General features: G+C 42.7%; 1 annotated feature.

Moving 5' to 3' along the window:
• Positions 20,329–20,830: an enhancer, noted in NCBI's record as "H3K4me1 hESC enhancer chr5:135337055-135337556 (GRCh37/hg19 assembly coordinates)". NCBI's record gives its function as "activates a minimal SCP1, AML or CMV promoter by ChIP-STARR-seq in primed H9 embryonic stem cells {active_cell/tissue: H9 hESC(primed)}" and the evidence as "EXISTENCE:reporter gene assay evidence [ECO:0000049][PMID:30033119]".

A 23,852-nucleotide genomic window follows, 5' to 3' on the forward strand; every position in this document is an offset into this window, starting at 1 on the left:
TTTACAATCTTTCTGTGTCTCTGTGTTTTAGACACAGCTCTTGTAAACGGTATATATTTTAGTTTTGCATTATTTATTTATTTATTTATTTTTGAGAGAGGGTGTCAGTCTGTCACCTAGGCTGGAGAGCAGTGGCGTGATCTCAGCTGACCATCTGGGCTCAAGTGATCCTCCCACCTCAGCCTCCTGAGTGCTGGAACTAAAGGCGTGCACCACTATGCCTGGCTAATTTTTGTATGTTTTGTTGAGATGGGGTCTCACTGTGTTCCCCAGGCTAGTCTCGAACTCCTGAGTTTAAGCGATCTGCCTGCCTTGGCCTCCCAAAGTGTTGGGATTACAGGTGTGAGCTACTGTGCCTGGCCTAGAGTTTTGTATTTTTTTATCAAGTCACATAATCTTGGTCTCCTAAATAGAACATTGCTATGGTTTGAATGTGTCCCTCAAAATTCATGTATTGGAAACTTAATCCCTAATACAACAGTGTTGGGATATGGGGCCTAATAGGAGGCAGAGTCCTCATGAGTGGATTAATTCCGCTACAAAAAGGGCTTGCAGAAGTGGGTTTGGACTCTTCTGCTATGTGAGGACTTGCACTTGTTCAAGTTGCCATCTTGGGAGCAAAGACTGGGCCCTCATCAAACAACTGAACCTGCTGGCACCTTAATCTTGGACTTCCCAGCCTCCAGAGCTGTGAGAAATAAATTTCTGTTCTTTATAAATTACTTCACCTTTGCTATTCTATAATAGCAGCACAAAATTGGCTAAGACACATGTAGTCTGTTTCAGCCAGCCTGCAGAAGCAGAATGCATCCCTATCCAAAATTTGGTTTGAATGTTGAAACTGATGACACCATACATACACACCAAGAAGGTTAAAGGTTTACTACTTATATAATTAAGGTTGTCTGGAAGAAGAGGTCAATCTTGGAAGATCGGTTAGAATCTCAACCAATCACTTAACCTGTGATATGTAGACCAGCCTCATTGACATAATCTCAAAACATTTTTTAAAATAAAACTTTAATTTTAGAATAGACTAGCTTTAGATTTACAGAAAAGTTGCAAACATAGCTCAGATACATTTTTATTAACTGAAGTCCATACTTTACTCGTATTTCCTTAGTTTTTACCTAGTGTCCTCTTTCTGTAGGGCAGCTTTTCAGAAATGCAAAATCTTAGGCCCCACCACAGACTTAGTGAATCTGAATTGTATTTTAATAAGATCCTCAAATGATTTTAAAGACATTAAAGTTTGAGAAGTGTTGGTTAACAAAAGAAAAATTTTCGGAAGGAAGCATAGAGAGAAAAAAAGAATAAAAAATATGGAAGAAAACGTAAAGAAGCAAAGTGAAAGCAATGAGACTCATGTCTTACATGAGTGTAGTTGGAGTCCCCAAAGCGGATTAGAGAGAAAATAGATTGGTAGCAATACTTTTTTTTTTTTTCAATTTACTCTCCTTTTATTTATTTATTTATTTTATTATTTTTTTATTATACTTTAAGTTTTAGGGTACATGTGCACATTGTGCAGGTTAGTTACATATGTATACATGTGCCATGCTGGTGCGCTGCACCCACTAACTCGTCATCTAGCATTAGGTATATCTCCCGATGCTATCCCTCCCCCCTCCCCCGACCCCACAACAGTCCCCAGAGTGTGATATTCCCCTTCCTGTGTCCATGTGATCTCATTGTTCAATTCCCACCTATGAGTGAGAATATGCGGTGTTTGGTTTTTTGTTTTTGCGATAGTTTACTGAGAATGATGATTTCCAATTTCATCCATGTCCCTACAAAGGACATGAACTCATCATTTTTTATGGCTGCATAGTATTCCATGGTGTATATGTGCCACATTTTCTTAATCCAGTCTATCATTGTTGGACATTTGGGTTGGTTCCAAGTCTTTGCTATTGTGAATAATGCCGCAATAAACATACGTGTGCATGTGTCTTTATAGCAGCATGATTTATAGTCCTTTGGGTATATACCCAGTAATGGGATGGCTGGGTCAGATGGTGTTTCCAGTTCTAGATCCCTGAGGAATCGCCACACTGACTTCCATAATGGTTGAACTAGTTTACAGTCCCACCAACAGTGTAAAAGTGTTCCTATTTCTCCACATCCTCTCCAGCACCTGTTGTTTCCTGACTTTTTAATGATTGCCATTCTAACTGGTGTGAGATGGTATCTCATTGTGGTTTTGATTTGCATTTCTCTGATGGCCAGTGATGATGAGCATTTTTTCATGTGTTTTTTGGCTGCATAAATGTCTTCTTTTGAGAAGTGTCTGTTCGTGTCCTTCGCCCACTTTTTGATGGGGTTGTTTGTTTTTTTCTTGTAAATTTGTTTGAGTTCATTGTAGATTCTGGATATTAGCCCTTTGCCAGATGAGTAGGTTGCGAAAATTTTCTCCCATTTTGTAGGTTGCCTGTTCACTCTGATGGTAGTTTCTTTTGCTGTGCAGAAGCTCTTTAGTTTAATTAGATCCCATTTGTCAATTTTGTCTTTTGTTGCCATTGCTTTTGGTGTTTTAGACATGAAGTCCTTGCCCATGCCTATGTCCTGAATGGTAATGCCTAGGTTTTCTTCTAGGGTTTTTATGGTTTTAGGTCTAACGTTTAAGTCTTTAATCCATCTTGAATTAATTTTTGTATAAGGTGTAAGGAAGGGATCCAGTTTCAGCTTTCTACATGTGGCTAGCCAGTTTTCCCAGCACCATTTATTAAATAGGGAATCCTTTCCCCATTGATTGTTTTTCTCAGGTTTGTCAAAGATCAGATAGTTGTAGATATGCGGCGTTATTTCTGAGGGCTCTGTTCTGTTGCATTGATCTATATCTCTGTTTTGGTACCAGTACCATACTGTTTTGGTTACTGTAGCCTTGTAGTATAGTTTGAAGTCAGGTAGTGTGATGCCTCCAGCTTTGTTCTTTTGGCTTAGGATTGACTTGGCGATGCGGGCTCTTTTTTGGTTCCATATGAACTTTAAAGTAGCTTTTTCCAATTCTGTGAAGAAAGTCATTGATAGCTTGATGGGGATGGCATTGAATCTGTAAATTACCTTGGGCAGTATGGCCATTTTCACAATATTGATTCTTCTTACCCATGAGCATGGAATGTTCTTCCATTTGTTTGTATCCTCTTTTATTTCCTTGAGCAGTGGTTTGTAGTTCTCCTTAAAGAGGTCCTTCATATCCCTTGTAAGTTGGATTCCTAAGTATTTTATTCTCTTTGAAGCAATTGTGAATGGGAGTTCACTCATGATTTGGCACTCTGTCTGTTGTTGGTGTATAAGAATGCTTGTGATTTTTGTACATTGATTTTGTATCCTGAGACTTTGCTGAAGTTGCTTGTCAGCTTAAGAAGATTTTGGGCTGAGACAATGGGGTTTTCTAGATATACAATCATGTCATCTGCAAACAGGGACAATTTGACTTCCTCTTTTCTTAATTGAATACCCTTTATTTCCTTCTCCTGCCTGATTGCCCTGGCCAGAACTTCCAACACTACGTTGAATAGGAGTGGTGAGAGAGGGCATCCCTGTCTTGCGCCAGTTTTCAAAGGGAATGCTTCCAGTTTTTGCCCATTCAGTATGATATTGGCTGTGGGTTTGTCATAGATAGCTCTTATTATTTTGAAATACGTCCCATCAATACCTAATTTATTGAGAGTTTTTAGCATGAAGGGTTGTTGAATTTTGTCAAAGGCCTTTTCTGCATCTTTTGAGATAATCATGTGGTTTTTGTCTTTGGCTCTCTTTATATGCTGGGTTACATTTACTGATTTGCATATATTGAACCAGCCTTGCATCCCAGGGATGAAGCCCACTTGATCATGGTGGATAAGCTTTTTGATGTGCTGCTGGATTCGTTTTGCCAGTAATTTATTGAGAATTTTTGCATCAATGTTCATCAAGGATATTGGTCTAAAATTCTCTTTTTTTGTTGTGACTCTGCCTGGCTTTGGTATCAGAATGATGCTGGCCTCATAAAATGAGTTAGGGAGGATTCCCTCTTTTTCTATTGATTGGAATAGTTTCAGAAGGAATGGTACCAGTTCCTCCTTGTACCTCTGGTAGAATTCGGCTGTGAATCGGTAGCAATACTTTAAGGGACACTGGCAGAGAACTTTGCAAAACTAATAAGAGATATCAAAGCACAGATTCTAAAGCTCTAGGAACCCTAAAGAGAAATAAGAGGAAATCCACACTTAGGCACATAAGAAAATCTATTAAAAACCAGAGACAAAAGCAAGCAAACAAAACTTGTAAGTGCAGCCAAAATTAAGTAAAAACAGACTAAAAGTAGCCACTATTAGACTGACAGCTGTCTTCAAAATAGAAATAATGGGAGCCAAAATGTATTGGAATTATATCTTCAGAGTGCTGAAAAAATATAACCGCTAATCTGGAATCCTATAGCTACCAATAAATGTTTTTAAGAAGTGGTGACATGATAAATTTCAGAGAAACAAAAAATGAGAGAATTTGTCTCCAGAAGTCTTTCACTAAAGGAAATGTTGAAAAGCATCTTTCTAGGAGAAGGAAAGATTCCTTCTGAAGAGGAATGGTTTGAAGATGGGTGTCTGGAGATGCAGAAAGAAACAAAGAATGATAAAAATTGAATATGTCTGAGTGAATCTAAATGATTTGCAACTGCATAAAATAAAAATAATGTATTGTGGTGTTTAAAAGATATAACAATTAAAATACAAATAATAGCAGAGAGTTATATAAGTGTTTTATAAAATCATTGCATTATCCCACATGAAACAAAAACACCAATTAATATTAAATTTTTGATAGGTTGTAATGCATGCCATAATCTCTAGGATGAATATTAAAGGAATGACTTAAAAATCATATAAAACTCCCAATTAATAGAGGGGCAAGTGTAATATAGAAATAATCAAAAAGAGGGCAAGAAAGGAGGGACAAGGAAATGTAAAATAGGCAGGAAAATAGCACCTAATAAGACGGTAAATTTAGAAGAAAATATATCATTCTTTACATTAAGTAATTTGTTCTGTGTAATAAGGAGTCTGACTCCACTTTCTGATGTTTGCTGGCAGTTTTTGAGCCTCACCCTTCCCTCTTCCCTTTCTTCTCCACATCTGGGAAAGCTGATAAGAAACCAGGGTCTTTCCTGCTTTGGCACCAATAGGAGATTCAAATGACACAAGTCCCTTCCTGCATGGGACTCCTCACCCCAGATCAGTCCCTCAGCCACAGTCTCCTTTTCTGCTCTCTCAAGTCATTTTGAACCTTGAGAAGACTGACTAGTTCTCTCTTCACTGAGTTCTTAATTTCAGTTATTGTATTTTTAATTTCCAAAATTTCCATTTGATTCTTTTTTGGGGGGAGCAGGGGACAGGGTCTTGCTCTGTCACCCAGGCTGGAGTGCAGTGGCATGATCATAGCTCACTGCAGCCTCCAATTCCTAGGCTCAAACAATCCTCCCACTTCAGCCCCCCAAGTGGCTGGGACTACAGGCACAAGCCACCGTGTCCAGCTAATTTTTGTATTTTTTGAAGAGACAGGGTTTTGCTATGTTGTCCTGGCTGGTTTCCAACTCCTGGGCTCAAGCAATCCTCCTACCACAGCCTCCCAAGTAGCTGTGATGACAAGTGCACGCCACTATACCTATCTAATTTAAAAAAGAAAAAAAAATTGTAGAGACAGGGTCTCACTGTCTTGCCGAGCCAGGCTGTTCTCAAACTTCTGGCCTCAAGCAGTCCTCCAGTCTTGGCCTTTCAAAGTGCTGGGATTACAGGCATGAGCCACCATGCCTTTCTGATTCATTTTTATAATTTTTAGATCTCTGATAAAACTCTTAAGCTTCCCTTTTAATAACATAGTTATTTTAAAGTCAGTGTGGTGACTCTAGCTTCTGAAATTCTTATGGGTCTGTTTCGTTTCTCTAGTTTGTCTTATTTTTTTCTCGGGTTGCCTTGTCTTTCAGTGGCCCTGGTTATTTTTAATCTTGTGGGGACGTTGTATTTACAAAATGTCTGTAGAAATAGAAGACTCATAGGAGGTTATAATTCCAGAGAGGATTGTGGATTGTGTTTCCTTTTGCCAGACTCCTAAGCCTTGCAACAAGCCAGGATGAGCTCAAAAGAACTTCAGAGATGGAGATGACTGAAAGCTGGGCTATGGTCCCTGCAAAGGCTTACCTAGTTCTGTTTCCCCCTACTGCTGGGGTGTAGCCCTTCAGTGCCTCTATCCTCTTCCAACTGGCAGGCCCTGGATTCTACTAGCTGAGCCCTAAGCTACAAGAACTATGTTAAGACTTTAAGTCTAAGCTGTGGGTTGGATCAATTCCACTAGAAACTACTGAGAAGAATGCTCATCTCTTATCCAAAATAATTCATCTAATTTTAGCAATATACTCCTTCTCTCCCCAAGTTCTCATAATGTGGAAGTCCCTTTACTCAGCCCGAGGACCAGTGACTTCAACCAAGAGATTCAAGAAGATCATAGGCTTTACTCTACACACGTGAGCTTTTAAGACAGAAAGCTAAGTCCAGCTATGTGATTCTCGCCTGGTAGTAGACATCAGAATCCTTGTAAGGGTGTTGAACATACATATGTCTGGGTCCCATCCCCAGAAATTTTGGAGTCAGGGTGTTCCCGCAAACTCCCTGGAGTGGTTTTGATGCAAGTGGTCCCTAGTCCGCATCTTATCAAGTCCTTTTATAATTGTGTACTGAACACAAGAACCCTAAACTAGCTGTAATTGGAGCAAGTTTTCATCTTGGTTCTTCCATCAGCTCGATCTGAGAAGCTGGGCAATTCACCGTGTGTCTCTGAGTCTCTTTCGCCGACTCACCACCACTTTCCCAAATGTTCTGTGAATGAATGTAAGAAGTCAACAACCCTCACTATAGCCAGCCCTCAAACAGAAAGATTTGCTCTTTCAGTGTGCTTGTCTGCTGGCAAGTTCTAAGCTGAGATGCTCTGATATTTTTCTTATGCGTGAATGTCAATTAGGTTTATTCACAATAATATTCTTTGTGGCCAAGTGTGTGTTTTCTTAATTTTTAACTTTTGTGGGTACATAGTAGCTGTATATATTTATGGGATACATTAGCTATTTTGATACAGGTATACAATGCATAATAATCACCTCAGGGCAAATAAGGCATCTATCCCCTCAAGTACCTGTCCCTTGTATTACAAAAAACCCAATTATACTCTTTTAGTTACTTTTTAAATGTACAATTAAATTATTATTGACTATAGTCACCCTGTTGTGCTAGCAAATACTAGGTTTTATTCATTCTTTCCATTATATTTTGTACCCATTAACCCTCCCATCACCGCACCCCCCACTACCCTTCTCAGCATCTAGTAACCATCCTTCTACTCTGTAACTCGGTGGTTTCAGTTGATTTAAATTTTAACTCCCACACGTAAGTGAGAACATACAAAGTTTGTTTTTCTGTGTCTGGCTTATTTTGCTTAACATGGAACCTCCAATTCCATCCATGTTGCTGCAAATGACAGGATCTCATTCCTTTTAGAGCTGATAGTATTCCATTGTGTATATGAACCACACTTTCACTATCCATTCATCTGTTGAGGGACACTTACGTTGCTTCCAAATCTTCACTATTGTGAATAGTGCTGCAATAAACATACAAGTGCAGACATCTCTTCAATATACTGACTTCCTTTATTTTGGGTATATGCCTATCAGTGAGATTGATTGCTGGATCATATGGCAGTTTTATTTTTAGTTTTTGGAAAACCTCCAAGCTGTTCTACATAGTGGTTGTACTAATTTACATTTCCGCCAACAGTGTACAAGGGTTCTCTTTTCCCCACATCCTCGTTAGCATTTGTTATTGCCTGTCTTTTTGATATAAACAATTTTAACTGGAGTGAGATGGTATCTCATTGTAGTTTAGATTTGTGTTTCTCTGATAATCAGTCATGTTGAACACCTTTTGATATATCTGTTTGCCATTTGTATGTCTTATTTTGAGAAATGTCTATTCAGATCTTTTGCCCATTTTTAATTGGTTATTAGTTTTTTTTCCTATAGAGTTGTTGAGCTCCTTATATATCCTGGGGATTAATCTCTTGTCAGATGGGTAGTTTGCAGATATTTCCTCCCATACTGTGGGTTGTCTCTTCACTTTGTTGACTGTTTCCTTTGATGTGCAGAAGCTTTTTAACTTGATGTGATTCCATTTGTTCATTTTTGCTTTGGTCACCTGTGGCTGTGGGGTATTACTCAAGAAATCTGTGCCCAGACCAATGTCCTGGAGAGTTTCTCCAATGTTTTCTTGTAGTAGTTTCATCATTTAAAGTATTGGATTTAAGTCTTTAATTCATTTTGATTTTAATTTTGAATATGGCAAGAGGTAGGAGTCTACTTTCATTTTTCTGCATATAGATGTCCAGTTTTCCCAGCACCATTTATTGAACTGAAGGTTCTTTTCCCAATATATGTTCTTGGCACCTTTGTCAATAATGAGTTTACTGTAGATATATGGATTTGTTTCTAAATTCTCTGTTCTGTTTGATTGGTCTATGTGTCTGTTTTTATGCCAGTATCATGCTGTTTTAGTTACTGTAGCTCTGTAGTATAATTTGAAGTCAGGTAATGCCATGTGTGGTTTTAAGCCTTAAGGTCTCTCACCATTCAGGACCTGCACTGTCCCAGTGTCACAGCTCCTGAGAATGTGGAGTGCTGAGGAGTAGCACTTGCGACCCATTCGCTTATATTTGTTTGGAATCGTGTACACATCTCTGGCTGTCCAGGCACAGAGGACAGTCAGCTCTGGGAAGCTCTAATTATGACAAGGAGCTTAACTGATGAGGTTCTGGTTTCTGACCTTGGCCCCTTTTGAATTCTCTATGATCTGGCGTCACCAAGTGGTTGAGAGTTGCCCAGAAATTGTTGTCAATTCACGGTGGCAAATAGAGATAAAGAAATAAAAGCACGTTACATTTTCCTATTCCTTGCTCTATGCATGATTTATCATTAAGGAGAGTCGTTTATAAAAGAAAGCATTTATTTAGGTTTTGATGAAGTCAGCTTTTTGGAGGTTAAATATAAAAGAAGAAAGAAAAGGATAATGCAAGTAAAAGTGAACTGCTCATCACAGCTGGTTGTGGAGGTTGAGAAGTTGGTATCTAACTAAGTTAGAGGGCATAGTTGAGAAAATGCGAATATTTATTAAGCCCCTGCTCTGTGCCAGGCCCTGTGCTAGGAGCTGAGGATTAAGTGGTTACTCAACAGCAGCACCTGCCCTTCCCTTGTGGAGCTTAGGTTCCAGGCCAAGAGCCCTGGACTCAGCAGTGTGATTATGTGCTTAATGTCTCCGTTAGGAACTTGGGGAAGTACCATAAAGAAAAAGAAGGTGGTTCTATCTTAGCGCATAATGAGGGGACCTGGCCTAGGCCAAGGGTCAGGGAAGGCTTCTCTGAAGAAGTGATGCCTGAGCCAAGATCTGAAAGACGGGCTGGGGCGCTGGAGGTGCTGAGGGTGCTGGAGGTGCTGGAGGTGCTGGGGGTGCTGGAGGTGCTGAGGGTGCTGGAGCAGCGCCAGGGGAAAGGAGAGCCAGGCAGTCCAGGCACAGGGCGCAGCAGGCACCACGGCCCTGCAAGAAGACAGCCAGTGTGCCCCGAGGGACTGAGACAGAGCAGAAAATGTGGCGTCAGAGGAGCCGGAGGTGGGGCCAGGGGTGGGGAAGAGCAGAGAAGCCCACCCCGTAGGACTGCACACAGCGTAGGAAAAATGCTGAATTCTGTCTTAGAATAAAAGGGGAACCCACTGAAGGCGTATGGGCGGAGTGAAGCCACTGCAGCCGCAGTGAGGAGAAGAGAAGGGAGACTGGTGAATCAGGGCCAAGGAAGGGCCATGAGGGGCGTTTGGGAATCCGCGGCTGGGCTCAGCCTGGCAGCGGAAGTGGAGAGCAGTGGGCAGATGGCAGGGGCTTTAGGGAGGCCATGCAGGCAGCAAATCCCCAGGAGCACTTGTCGCCCCTGTGCTGCACTCCCTTGTAGTCTCTCCGTCACAGTCGGGCAGGGAGCATCAGACAGATATCTGGAGTCCTGACAGCCTCTCTCAGCAGCCAAACGCACAATTCAGAATTGTCAGTTCCCAAAGAGGCCTCCAAAGTGAGCGCAGAGAAGATATTGTCATTCAGCACAACACCGGTGTGTGAAGACACCAAAGGCTGCTCAGCAGCCCCCTGAAAGTGGCGCCTTGGGGTGACGAGGCTGCTGGCTCTTAGTGCCAGTCCAGGTGCAAGGAGAGCTGCCCCCACCTTCTGTGTGTGCCACAGTCTCCTCCCTCTCTGCCCTCTGCCCCACGTTGTATCACCTCACCTTTTCTAGCCTGAATATGGAGGCTCCCGGAGCTAGGAAAGAGTTCAGTACCCCCCAGCTGTTTTCTAAGGCCGATTGTGTCTCCACCCCTCCCAGGCTTCTCCACTTTATGTTTCCTCTCTCTGCATTATGTTTTTAGGCAGCCTTTTCTCCGGATTTCCCATCCGCGCTGAGAACAAATGACATGCTGATGTGTTCAATCAGTGTCATACGTGGTAGCTTTGAGAGTAAGTGCCAGAATGTGTCAGGGAAGCTATGGGATGGTGGAAGGTATCCATGGCAATATTGCCCTGTTTAGCAAACATGTGAAGAAAATTTATGCTGAGATAATCAAAAAGTAACTTAGAGGTACACTTTGGTAGCTCCAAGTTCAAAACCAGTATTTTCCGCTGGTTGACTGCAAGGCAAAAATAATACTCATGCACTTTGTGCCTTGAACTTTATGGCAATAGTGAAGCAGGCTTTCTCAGACCGGGATAATTATCACACTCTCACATGATTTTGAGGTGTATCCATAACTCATGACAACGTCAAATTTCATTTAGAACAAGTCTACACACCGTTTCCCTGCAGTAAGGTGCCCCTTGGTAATATCTAGTTCATCAAATATTTCATTTTTATTGTTGTTTTTCTTGCAAGTTCTGCAAGTATTTTAAGCTATAAACATGTGAAATCCAAAAATGCTTACTTAATGCAATTAGTATTTATAAAGAGTTGAGTCCTTGGCCCTCCTGCTCTTCAGTGAAGTTCCCAGTGTTTCCAGCAGCAGGTGTCTCTGTATGTCTTGCTGCATTCAGAATTACCTAGAGTTGATGCCTCTTGTCTAAACTTGGCCCAAGAAAAAAGATTAAAAGCAATAGTGTGGTGCAATTTTCTGGCAGAAAACAGAAGGACTGGTATCTTAGTCTGTTTGTGCTGCTATAACAAAATGCCATAAGCCATAAACTGGTGACTTTCAAATAACAGAAATTTTATTTCTCACAGTTCTGGAGGCTAGGGAGTTCAAGATCCAGGTGCTGGCAGATTCACTGTCTGGTGAGGGCTCACCTCCTTGTTCATAGAATGGAGCCTTCTTGCTGTGTCCTCATGTGGTGGAAGGGGCAAGCAAGTTTCCTTGGGCCTCTTTTCTCATTCACAAGGGCTCCACCTTCATGACCTAATCACCTCCCAAAGGCCCCATCTACTAGTACTATCACATTGGGGAAACAAATTCAGATCACAGCCACTGGTTTTCCCTCTGGTTTTGACATGTATTGTAAATTCCATTTTGATGTACATAAAATATATCTAAACAAATTCAGCTTTGACATAGGGGTTATCGGTTGCTCCAAACTTGTCTATCTAGGAATCATGTACTGCAAAGCTATGAAGATACCTCAGAGGATCTAAGTGTGGGAGCTTCCTAGGATGCAGAAGCATGTAGGCCAACCAGCTTCCAATGGTAAATGCAGTAAGCGATCCATCTAAATGACAAAGGCAACATGGTCTAGCTTTGGCACTGACTCTTTTGAATCATGCACAAGTCTCTCTGTATAAAACTAGTTGATAATATCTAACCTGCTTTTCATGATTCTTGTAATTACCTCAACGAGAAAAGTGATTGTCCGATTCAAGGCATGCTTGTCATTCTTCTTCATCTTATCATTCACTCCGCCACACTGAACCCCTGCTACTCTGAGGCAGTGTAAGCCAGGAGTTGGGGCTGCCGCTGCCTTTCTCCTGATGAACACCAATGGCGGGGCCTTCTGCACCCTTGGGCTCAGAGCAGGAAGAGAAGCGTGTCTTCTGTGTCTCCCCCTTCCTCAAGCCCCACACACACTCAGGGGGCACTTGGTACAGTCCCTGTTCTTCGGAGCACCCACCCCAAACCTCCCCTGAAATCAAAGATGGCTGCCCGACTAAGGAGGTGTTTTCAGTTATTCAGAACACCTAACCTCACTGAGACCAGCAGGGTTAAACAACCTGATTCTATGTCAGAACACCCTTCTCAGTTATTCAGAACACCTAACCTCATTGGATCAGCAGGGTTAAACAAACTGATACTATGTCAGAAAATCTAATTGAGTCATTGTTTGGCTTAAGTCATTTCTCATCCATTTATCCACTAGACCTCCCACAATGAACACTCTAGTTCTACGTCTTCATTTTCCAAGTTACAAAAGAAGAAGCAGAAGAAAATCTGGACTACGGCTCTTGAAGCTCTACTTGGTAACATGAAAGGGAGGATAAAAGCCAGGGAGCCAGAGGCCATCTGAAGCAGAACATCACCTACTTTATCTCAGAAGCACAGGCCTTTGTCTTCTGAATGACATTCTTCCTCCCTAGAAAATCATGTCTGGAAAATTCTTCCAAACAAGGCTCAAAACAATGACTTCAGATGAAACAGGCTCAAATGCATAAACACCAGCGAAACAGAGGATTTCGAAAATCTTTGCGTGTGTGCTGCCAACAAGTTCTTTTCTGTAATTCGTGGGATTTCAGGTTTAGCTCACATTTACCCCTTTCCTCGCAAATAAAAGTTTCTGAGGCTGCAAGCCCATGGGAGGCCACTGTCAAAGGCCCCAGGGAAGATCTCTACTACCAGCAAGAGGAGAAAGAGCTCAAGGCCACACTGACAGACAGACAGACATACAAGGTACTGTAAAGCTTTCTCCCTTGTGGCCCATTCCCCTCCTGTCCGGAAATGCCTGTGCACTCTGCTGAATGACTCATCCGAGACCAGACAATAATAAAGCAATCACGTTTGTTGATTAAAAATCAGCCTATCTAGAATATAAATGTTCCTTTCAAGTAGCTCTATTACTCTATCTGTGAAGCATGTGGGAAGTCTGCTCTGTGTCATTTTTCCATTAAAACGCAGTCCTAACAGGAGAATTCCAGCTACCCTGCAACATCTGCTCCAAATTTTCCTATGATTTATGTGACCATGAGGCCAGCTCCAAGTATACATATAAATAGGTTCTGCGAGGGATCTTGTCCTATATACAAGTAAAAGTAGAAAGATTGGTATTTAATTACATCATCAAATTTGTTTTAGATCTTGGAATGTCACATTGTCAACCAGATGTCCATATATCCAAATTTATTATTTCATGTCAGTGAGACATAAGAGTGCTTTAGTTGTATATGTTCATTGTAATTAATTCTGAACATTTTACATAAGTTATTTCCATAACAACTGTGGGCAAGAGAGAAGAAGCAGATTCTAGTAACTAACTCTGCTCTATAGCTGGGGAAACTCAGTGGCCCCACAGCAACTCAAACAACCAGCCCTCAATTCTTTTGACCCTTAGCTTACTTTTTAGTGCATAGTTTCATCTCAAAGTTATAACATTTTTTAATAAAATAATAAGTAAGAGGAAATACTGTCGTATTTGATGGGGGAGGTTGCTAAATGATAATGACACTTGGATGTCAGGACATTCCATGTCAGAGTGGCCCTCTCCTTTTGCTGGGAATTTTCTGTCAGCACAGTCTGAGTACTGTGTTGGGGGTGGACTGCCAGGGCTCTGTGGTGCAAGTAAGGAGGCTGTGCCCCTATTCTAGGTAAGAGGCTGTAAGAGCTTGGATTTGGATGCTTGGGTGATGAAAGTGCAAATGAAGGACAAAGTCTTCTTCAAGGGAGATGTAGAAGGCAAAATTGAATGTACTTAAGGAGGATGAGGGTGAAGATGGTGAGAGAGGTGGCTCACAGGCTCTGGAATGGATGGTCCAACCATTCTTTAAGATAGAAAACTCTGGGAGATACTGGGAGTTAGATCAAGAGTTCAACCTTAAACAAACTGACATGGTGCTGAAACTTCAAGTGGACATGTCAACTATGAAAGTAGAGACAGGATGCTGTGCCTTACCCCCACTCACACTGGGTCAGCTCTGCTGTTTTCTGTGTGATAGGGTAGCATTTCATGTAAAGATTTGCTGTGGTTTGAATGTTTTTGTTCCTTCCAAAATCTATGTTGAAACATAATCCCCAATGCAACAGTATTGGGAGGTATGCCTTTGGGAGGTGATTAAGTCACGAGGGCTCTGCCTTCATGAATAAGATTAGATACCCTTATAAAAGGGCTTGGCAGAAGGAGTTTGCCCCTTTTGCCCTTCCGCCTTCTGCCATGCAAAGATAGCATACCTCGCCTCTGGAAGATGCAGTGCTCAAGGCACCATCTTGGGAGTGGGGAACAGCCCTCACCAGATACCAAACCTACCAGCACCTTGATCTTGGACTTCCCAGCCTCCAGAGCTGTGAGAAATACATTTCTATTGTTTATAAATTACCTAGCTTGTGGTGTTTTGTTATATTAGCACAAATAAAGTAAAACAAGTGTTTTTTTTTTAGAAAGTAGTTCTATAAGGACAAAAAATATTGAAAGAAACATGTCTGTAAGCGGTGGGAAGACACTGAAGGATTTTAACCAGGGAAATGAATTGAATGGATTTGTATTTAAGATCCACGTGGGAGCAGTGGATGAAAGAAAGTTGAGATCCTGGTTCGGCTGGCCCCTTCCTAGCTGTTTGAATTTGGGGAAATCACTAAACCCTTGTGAGCCTCGGGTTCTTCATAAGATGGAGATAGTGCTGCCTTCTTCATCTGGCTGTTATGAGAATTATAATTAAAATGCCTAGGATAATAAATGCTTAACATGCACTGGTTTCCTTCTCCATGATGGAGTACCTGCTGATAAGGTTTAACAAGTGGGGAGGGAGAGAAGCTAATTAAGAGGTTCTAGTCATCTCCCCAGAGAGGAGTGGACAACCCCTGACTTAGGGCCAGAAGACTGCAGAGTCTAGACGGCTGGGTTATGGAGTGCTGGAGTCAGGGCAGTGCGCACAAGTGTTGGGCTGGGTGACTCCAGTGGAAAGTAGTGCTGATAATCATGCTTGGAATTCAGGGGGACGGAGGGCACTTGGGGTTTGGTCAAGAGGAGGGTCCACCCTGCAGCCATTGTACACACAACCCCCATGCCCCCATTAAGACTGCAGAGCTCTCCTCCCCTTGCCTTTCCTTGTGAGCACCCTCTCTGCCCCTTTCAGCCTCTGCTGCTGCTCATGCCTCGCCACTGAGCCCCACAGCAGCCAGCTGAGCTTTCCTGTTCTCTTCCCTCCTTTCCTGTTTCATTTCCGAGGCTCTTCCAAGCCCCCGGGCTTTTCACACAAACACTTTCTTTTCCTACCTCAGAACTTGGTTTTTGCCTCTGCACAGTCAGGGTTGCTAGCTGCTCGGGTATCATTTCTTTTCTACCAAAGAAGGGAATGTTTTCTTTTTATGGGGCTCTCTCCAGGTCTGGAGCCCTGCTGGCTTCTCCACAGCTTTAGGTAACCCACAAAATCCTCAGCATTCTGGCTGCTGCCCTGGCTGTGCCTGTCTCTCCGGGCAGTGTCTTGAGTGACAGTGGGAGGAATGGGTCATGCCTGACTAATCAAAAGCCACAGCAGGCAGCATTGCCTGGACTATGGTCCTCTGACACTTCATCCAGATGATGATGCCTTCATATTTGTTAGAAACTTCATGCCTTCTTCCCAGGACCCGGCTTCCCTAGAAGTTAATCAGGCTGGTGGCCAGTGGAGTGGCTGTGGATTCAGAGCAAAGCAGTGTGGCTGGTCCCAAAAGCTCTTTCTCTGGGCCATGGTGAGACCGCTGAAAGAGCTCCACCCCACCACACAGCATGGGGAGAGCTCACAGCCAGACTATCCTTGAACCCCCCAATCTAGGCCTTTCCGCCTGAATACATGGGTCCTTTTTGCCATCCTCTCTGTTCTTTTTCTGGGTTTTTCTGGCCAAGCAATCTCTCTTTAAGTCGGTTAACTTACCTTTTGAGGCATATCTTTGCTCTCAGCCTGGGAGCTCATCTGTCTCTGGGAGATGGCTCTACCTAAACAGAAGTCTGTAGATGTTTTCTTGGGCTCACCCTTCTCAAATCATGTTGAGAAATCATGAGACATGAGAAATCATGTCTCAAAGCATTTCCAACAAAGCTTTAGCTGACTCAGAATATACAAAGATTTTTTTCCAAGTCAACTTTATTGAGGCATAATTTATGTGTAATAAAATGTATATATTTTAAGTATACAATCTGATGAGTTGTGACAAACGTGTACATCCACATAGCCGCCACGACAATCAAGACACAGAACATCTCCATCACCCCAGAATGCAACGTTTGCCATTATCCCCCCAACCCCAGCCATGAGCAAACACCCACCTGCTTCCTGTCAATATAGATGAGTTTTGCTTTGTCTAGATTTTTATGTAAATTATCATACAGTAGATATCATTTATATCTTACACTCAGCCTACGATTTTGAGATTCACCCATGTTATAGCATGTTATGGATAATTTGTTCTTTTTTTTAGCTGAGCAGTATCTCATTGTATGGAAATAAGATAATTTGTTTCTCTCTTCACTCAGTGATAGACATTTGGGCTGTTTCCAGTTTGGTGTATTACAAGTACAAATGCCTTTTCTGATTCCTGATGTAGCACCTGGAGTAAACACGTCTGTTGCCCTTAGAGAGCTTAAAGTCTTGGCAAAAAGAGACAATTTAAATGATTTAATCCTCGTGGAATTTTATTATTGGATATGATTGGGATATAATCAACTGCAGGGAGGCTTGTAGTTGTGCTGGATGCTATGGAACCGGCAGAGAATGGAAGAGTACAGGGGGCCGGGGTCACTTCAGGGCATTTTATTTTATTGGGGAATGGCATGTGAAAGCTCCATCAAATGACGCTGGATGGAGCCCTGCCCTGGGAAGCAGGCAGAGGAAGACCACAGGGGGAGCAATCCTGGCAGGTGAGAGGCTGCAAAGATGCCGCCAGACCTGGAATAGAGAGTTTGTGTTCAGCAAGTGGGACAGAAATCACGAAAAGGCCTTGAATACTGCTCAAATTGCAGGACCTGCCACTGCCATGATGAGTGCCACTCTGAAGCCCTAAAAGATGACAAGGGAGAGTAGGAGAAGCAAGCCCAGAGGAGAAAGAAAGTGGAGAATGGTCCCCAGAGGAAGGGAGGCAAACAGGGAGCAACAGCTACGCAGGTGACTGCAATGTAAGAAGCCATCCAAGAATAGACAGTGTTTCAAAATGCTCAGGAAAAAGCAAGGTGCGGTCTTCTGGATGTGGCGGCAGAAAAACCCCAAGAGAAAGACATCATCAACATAAAAGCCTGGAAAAAATAGGGATCATAAAGATGCCAGTGTGACTGACAAACAAATTAGAGGTGTTTGTCTCTCGTACTCTCCCTTATCATCTTTTAGGGCTTCAGAGTGGCACTTCTCACTGGGGCCATCTGCAAGCTGTTCTTCGGCTCAGGAGACCATGGCCCTGCTACACAGTCTCCCATTTTCACATACTTGTTTTTATTGCTGGGTAACAAATTACCTTCAACTTAGTGGCTTAAAACAATACAGTGGCTTTTTTTGTTTAATCTCACAGTTTCCATGGGTCAGGAGTCTGGACATAGAGGAGATGGGTTCTCAGCTCACAATCTCATCAGGCTGAAATCAAAGTGTTAACCAGGGCTATGTTTTCATTTGGAGCTCAGGGTTCCCGGTAATCAGAATTCAGTTCCTGCAGTTGTAGGGCTGAGGTCCCATTTTCTAGCCAATCTAGGGGCTGCGCTCAGGTCCTAGAGGGCCGTGCAGGTCCCCTCCACGGGAAGTTCACAGCATGGCTGTTTACTTTCCTTCAGGCCAGCAGGAGAGTGCCTGAATTACATCTGCAAAGTCCCTTTTGCCATACAAAGTAACATGTCACTGGAGTGACAGCCAGTCTTATTTACGGGTCCCACTTACACTCAAAGGGAGGAGATGATGCCTGCACAGCAGGGACCAGGAATCTTAGGACCCATCTTAGAATTCTGCGCATTGCACATGGTTTTTCCTTTGACTTCCTATTTCTCCATCTAGAAAGGCAGGGGCTGTGGGCTAGGTCCTCTCAGAGATTCTGCTCTGCACCAATACTCTGAGTCTGTGTTCTCCTTCATTTTATGATTAGAGTCCATTTGGAAGCACTATGCCCAATCATCTCATCCAAAATGTGCCTTGAAGATAGTGATGGGGACAGGGGCAGAGATGACTGAGAACCACTGAAGGGGTCGCAGGCCAAGGGAGGGGCAGCTGAGTAACGGGCAGGGAGGCCTGCTCCTGGAATGGATGTTTGGTGAGTCATTAGGGCTGTTCACATACATTCTGTTTCTTCTTCTGAGCAGCGGAAGTGGGATTTTACTTCCCCATCCCCTTTGCAATTCAGTATAGGCATGTGCCTGACTGTGGCTGGTGAAATCTGAGCAGGGATGATGTCTATCATTCTGAGCTGAAGTTTTAAGAGCCCGTGTGTGTGTGTGTGTGTGTGTGTGTGTGTGAGTGTGTGTGTTGTCTCAACTCCCTTGTCCTCTGCTATAGTGACTAGCAGTTTGAGACGGTGGCTGCTTCATTATCCTGGGTCCCTGAAGGGATGCAGAACAGAACTCCAGCCAACCCGAAATGGACTTGTGGCACAGATGACAGAAATAAATCTTTGTTGTTTAAAGCCCCTAAGATTTAGGATTGTTTGTTACTGCAGCATCACCTAGCCTATCCTGGCTGGTACAAAAAGGACAGTATCACAGTTATTCTGGCTGCCACCTTCTCTTTTTCTCCGGAAACTCTTATCTGAGCCAGGTCTTTGATGCAGTGGCTTCTCAAAGATATAGCCATAGGGTTCAATCTTGATGAAAAGTGACTGTGTTGCTCTATAGTCATGTATCTTCCGTCATTCAAACTGAGCTACTCACCTGCTTGCTGAGAGAAGATGCTCTCCCACACCCTGGGCCCTCAGCCCTCATGATAAATAAATAATTTTTGTTTGAGAACAAATAAGAGTAATTAGCACATTCAGGGAAAACTGCCAGTCAAACCTGACTTGGACATGCTTTGATGTAGTTTACTTGTCATCTTGTTCTGAAAAATCTCAATTACCTGCAACCTGCCATTCCCGCTCTTTTCTTTTCCTACACCTCTAATTTGTTTGTCAGTCACACAGGCATCTTTATGATCCCTATTTTTTCCAGGCTTTTATGTTGATGATGTCTTTCTCTTGGGGTCTTTTCTGCCACCACATCCAGAAGACTGCACCTTGCTTTTTCCTGAGCATTTTGAAACTCTGTCCGTTCTTGGATGCTTCTCACATTGCAGTCACCTGTGTAACTGTTGCTCCCTGTTTGCCTCCCTTCCTCTGGGGACCATTCTCCACTTTCTTTCTTCTCTGGGCTTGCTTCTCCTACTCTCCCTTATCATCTTTTAGGGCTTCAGAGTGGCACTTCTCACTGGGGCCATCTGCAAGCTGTTCTTTGGCTCAGGAGACCATTGCCCCTGCTCCACAGTCTCCCGATGAGGGAGGATGCTGGCAGAGGTTGGCTGCCACTCAATTACCCAGACTCATTCCAAAGACCACGCAAATTTTTGTCCAGAGGGATGGTGACTGCCAGGGGGACCGATAGAGGGTACACAGGCATAGATCACCCTCAAGCAGAGACTACAACTGGTTAGGACTATGAGAAGAAATTATGCACAAGAGCGTGTCATAGTGTAAATTATGCCATGGTTTAAAGAGGAAATAAGACACAGAGAGAATCTGGCAATTATAATAATAATAATAACTAACAGTTAATGAGCACTTTCCATGACCCAAGCACAGCGTAGACACTTCCTATGGATTATCTCCTGCAGTCTTCATATTTCCTGTTGGGTAACACTAGTCTCATGCCCACAATTCGGATGAGGAAGCAGGGGCTCAGAAAGTTAAAGCAGTTCACCTAAGGTACACAGCAAGTAAGCAGAGAACTGGGATAGGGTCCCAGACAGCTGGCTTCAAAGTCCATGCTTCTACCCAGGCAAAGGGAAGAAAGAACTACACTGGCCAGAGGAGCTACCCCCTAGTTGCCAGTGTCCATGATGATTCCCTTGTGAGGAGGCCCCCCAGTCCAGATCCTTCCCATCCCACCTACCTGGAACTCGCTTCCAGCTGATTGGCTACAGGGCTCTGCCACATGATGCAAACTGGAAAAGGCCCTGTTTGAACTCTTCCCCTGCAAGAGTTCAGGCCCACAGGTTCTGGTGTGGGCTTGCTCAGCTGGAGGTAGCCTGAGGTGAGCTGGAGTTTACAGCCCTGGCTGCAGGCATCCTGCCGGGTTGGACTGCCTTGCTTTTCAGAGTAGGGGGAATTGAATTATTATTGCATCAACTCCTCCGACACTCTGAGAACTATGGCCTCCCTCATTCCTTCCTCTGTGGCTTTTCTCTGCCCATAAATGAAAAGCAGATTGCCTCACTGGTGCTGGATGCTCAGAGCAGAACCGCATCCTAGGTGTGGAAGAGCAGAAATGTTTCTCACCATCTGTTTCTCGTTGACTTCAGTGGGGCCATGCTTAGACAATGGGGCAGTATGCAGCCTGCATGGGGTGTGGCCCCACAGGGTGACCCCATGGCCTGCTGGCTGGCAGGCTGGGGAGTGGCCCTCCTCTGCCTTGAAGGCCAAGAGGCTGGGGAGCTTGTGTTTCCTAGAGTGTGGGGGTGGTTTCCCCCTCATTTGGCCGTTTCTTCTTCCTTTTCTTTCTAGAAAGATGGATTTCAGCTGTTTTCCCAAGACTCATAGTAACCTCCTAGTAAAGTCGATATTTACTGTGTGTGTGTCTGTGTGTGTCTGCCTGTGTGTGTGTTATGAACAGTGTAAATGTATTCTACGTTTAATGCAGAAAACCTAGAAGAATGAAAAGAAGCAAAAAGTAACAGCCCCATTATCAAGATTTTTTTTTGATGTGTTCTGTCAGTGGTCTATTTTTCTTGATTATTTTTTAGCATCATTAAAAAAAAATATCGGGACCTAATGCACGCTGCTGAGTTAGGCAGTATTCTAAGTACTTCGCAGGGGATAATTTCAGGTTGCATATAGTACAACCCTATGAGTAAATAATTTCATTAACAGCATTTTTACAAATGAAGACACTGCAGTTAAGAGGGGCAGGAGCTCCGCTCAAGATCACCCAGGAAGGTGTGGTGGGACCAGGACTCAGGACTCAGTTGCAGGTTGGGTAACTCCAAATTTCACAGCTCATAACTACCTCCACCGTACACACTATACATGAAATGCAAGGCAGTTTGTGTCCTGTTTTTCACTAAGCAGTAGATGGGGACTATTCAACCAATAGTCCTGTATGCATGATTTTAACAGCTGCGTATATCTCATTACATAGATTTAGCTGAACCTGTTTAGCCAATCCCCTGACTTTGGGTTGTTCCAAATGTTGTCATTATAATGCTGAGATGATCATTCAATACAGATACCCTTAAGGCTATATCCATTGATTTGCCAGTAGTGGAATTTGAGCTAATAGACATGCATGATACTTTAAGAAGTTTTGAAAGATGAGGGAAATTGCCTTTAAGAAAAGTTTTACTCTTTGCAACACTAAGCATTATAATCTTTCATTTACGAAAATAGCAAAGAAGATTTTTTTAAATGCATGATTCCTTTTTATACCTTTCATTTTTTTTAGTGATCCAAATAGGAAACTTTTTCATTCATTGTCAATTTTAACTTAACCTTCTGTAAACTCAATGTTCATGCTCTTCACACAATGTAATTTATTAGGTAATTTATTTTTACGTTGATTTGCAAAAGCCTTTTACATTAAGGATGTTGATCCTTTGCCACCTGTGTTGCAAACATGTCTCTCGGTTTGTTATCTGCCTTCTTATCTTGCTTATGATGTTTTGTATTTTTGTGAAATAGAGGTTCAAAAATGCTATGCAGCTAATCTATCAATCTTTTTCTTGGTACTTTCTTCCTACAGTATTTTATTTTTTAAAGTTTTTTTTCTGTCTTACCTAAAATATTAAGTAAACCTTAGCATTAAATACAGATATTGTCCTATTGTTTAAAATTGAAGTTGCGGTTATTTTATTTTCTAGCACAACAATTACAGAAAGTATTTATATTCATTTTTGGTCATTTTTGTTTATTAATTTTTAAACCACAATCTTCTGAATATATACATCAAGAATAGCAGGTAAGAAATGAATGTACCACCCTGCTCCCTTTTTCCCCAGGTTGGGTGTCACTCACTGACCCCTGCATTCTCTCCCGCAGAGCTCAGAAGGGGCTCAGAATCTTGCTCAATACAGTAATCCTCAATGCCACAATCCTCAACACAGGTACTCCTACAAATTGAGACCCATAGGTCTCATCATCCTTTATGTTTAACAATCATTAAGAAAGACCTACACTGCGTAATAGCTTTGGTGGCCATCCGTCATTGCAGGTGATACTTCCTAAATTGTAGGGTGAAAGATATGGCATAAGAAATTAATTTCTTGGTCTTCTTATAAAATTTCAGAAGCCAAGGACAGCTTAGGGAAATAGCAAAGGGCTAAGCATAAAATCTCAGAATTCTCTGATAACACAGTCCAACTGGACTTTTGAATTTGGGATCTATGCTCCATAAAAGAAGAGCTGCATATCCAGAATTCCCTTTTTGTTGTTGTTGTTTTTTGTTTTCGTTTTTGTTTTTTTGAGACAGAGTCTCGCTCTGTTGCCCAGGCTGGAGCACAGTGGCGTGATCTCGGCTCACTGCAAGCTCTGCCTCCCGGGTTCACGCCATTCTCCTGCCTCAGCGTCCCAAGTAGCTGGGACTACAGGTGCCCGCCACCAGGCCAGGCTAATTTTTTTTTGTATTTTTAGTAGAGATGGGGTTTCACGGTGTTAGCCAGGATGGTCTCGATCTTGTGACCTGGTGATCCACCTGCCTCAGCCTCCCAAAGTGCTGGGATTACAGGCGTGAGCCACTGCGCCCGGCCTGTGTTCTTCAAGTTTATTACCTCAGTCACTAGTATAAGTCTATTTCAAGTCCTTGAATGTCTAAGAATGTCTGTCTGTTGCCTTCATAAGGCTGCAAAATTACTGGATCCTAACTTTCTTCCTTCAAAACTTTCTAAAGCCTGCTCTATACAGGGTGGCAAAGGACAAGTCTGAAGCCAACCAATTTTGTAAACTTTGAAAGAGGTATTTTTTTTCCCTCAATGCTCATGACATGAAAACAAATTAGTCTTATAATTCAAATATGTTGCTAGAATGTGTTTTAGCCCCTGTGACACAGTGAGGCCTCTCTGTCAGGGATCCCCTAGGCCACAGGTCCATCGCTGTTTGGAAACCCACTAAAATGACTCACAAAACTCAGCTTAAAGTGTACTCAGCTTAAAGTGTACTCATAGCCAAGATTTATTACAGCAGTGTTGTAAGGATATATGAGTGGCTCATGAAGGGAAAAGGCACAGGCAGTCTGGAGGAATTCATGTGCAGGTTTCCTCATGCTCTCTCTCACCCATTAGGAGTCACGCACAGCTTACTCTTCACCAGTGAGAAAAATGAAACAACGTATGCATGATGTATCTGTCTAGGGAAGCCCATCAGAGACCCATTACACAAGTTTTTTTTACTGGGGTCTGATCATGATCATGTAGGTCCTTCTGTCTAGCAT

This window comes from Homo sapiens, chromosome 5 (genome assembly GCF_000001405.40).
Source record: "Homo sapiens chromosome 5, GRCh38.p14 Primary Assembly".
Taxonomy (NCBI): domain Eukaryota; kingdom Metazoa; phylum Chordata; class Mammalia; order Primates; family Hominidae; genus Homo; species Homo sapiens.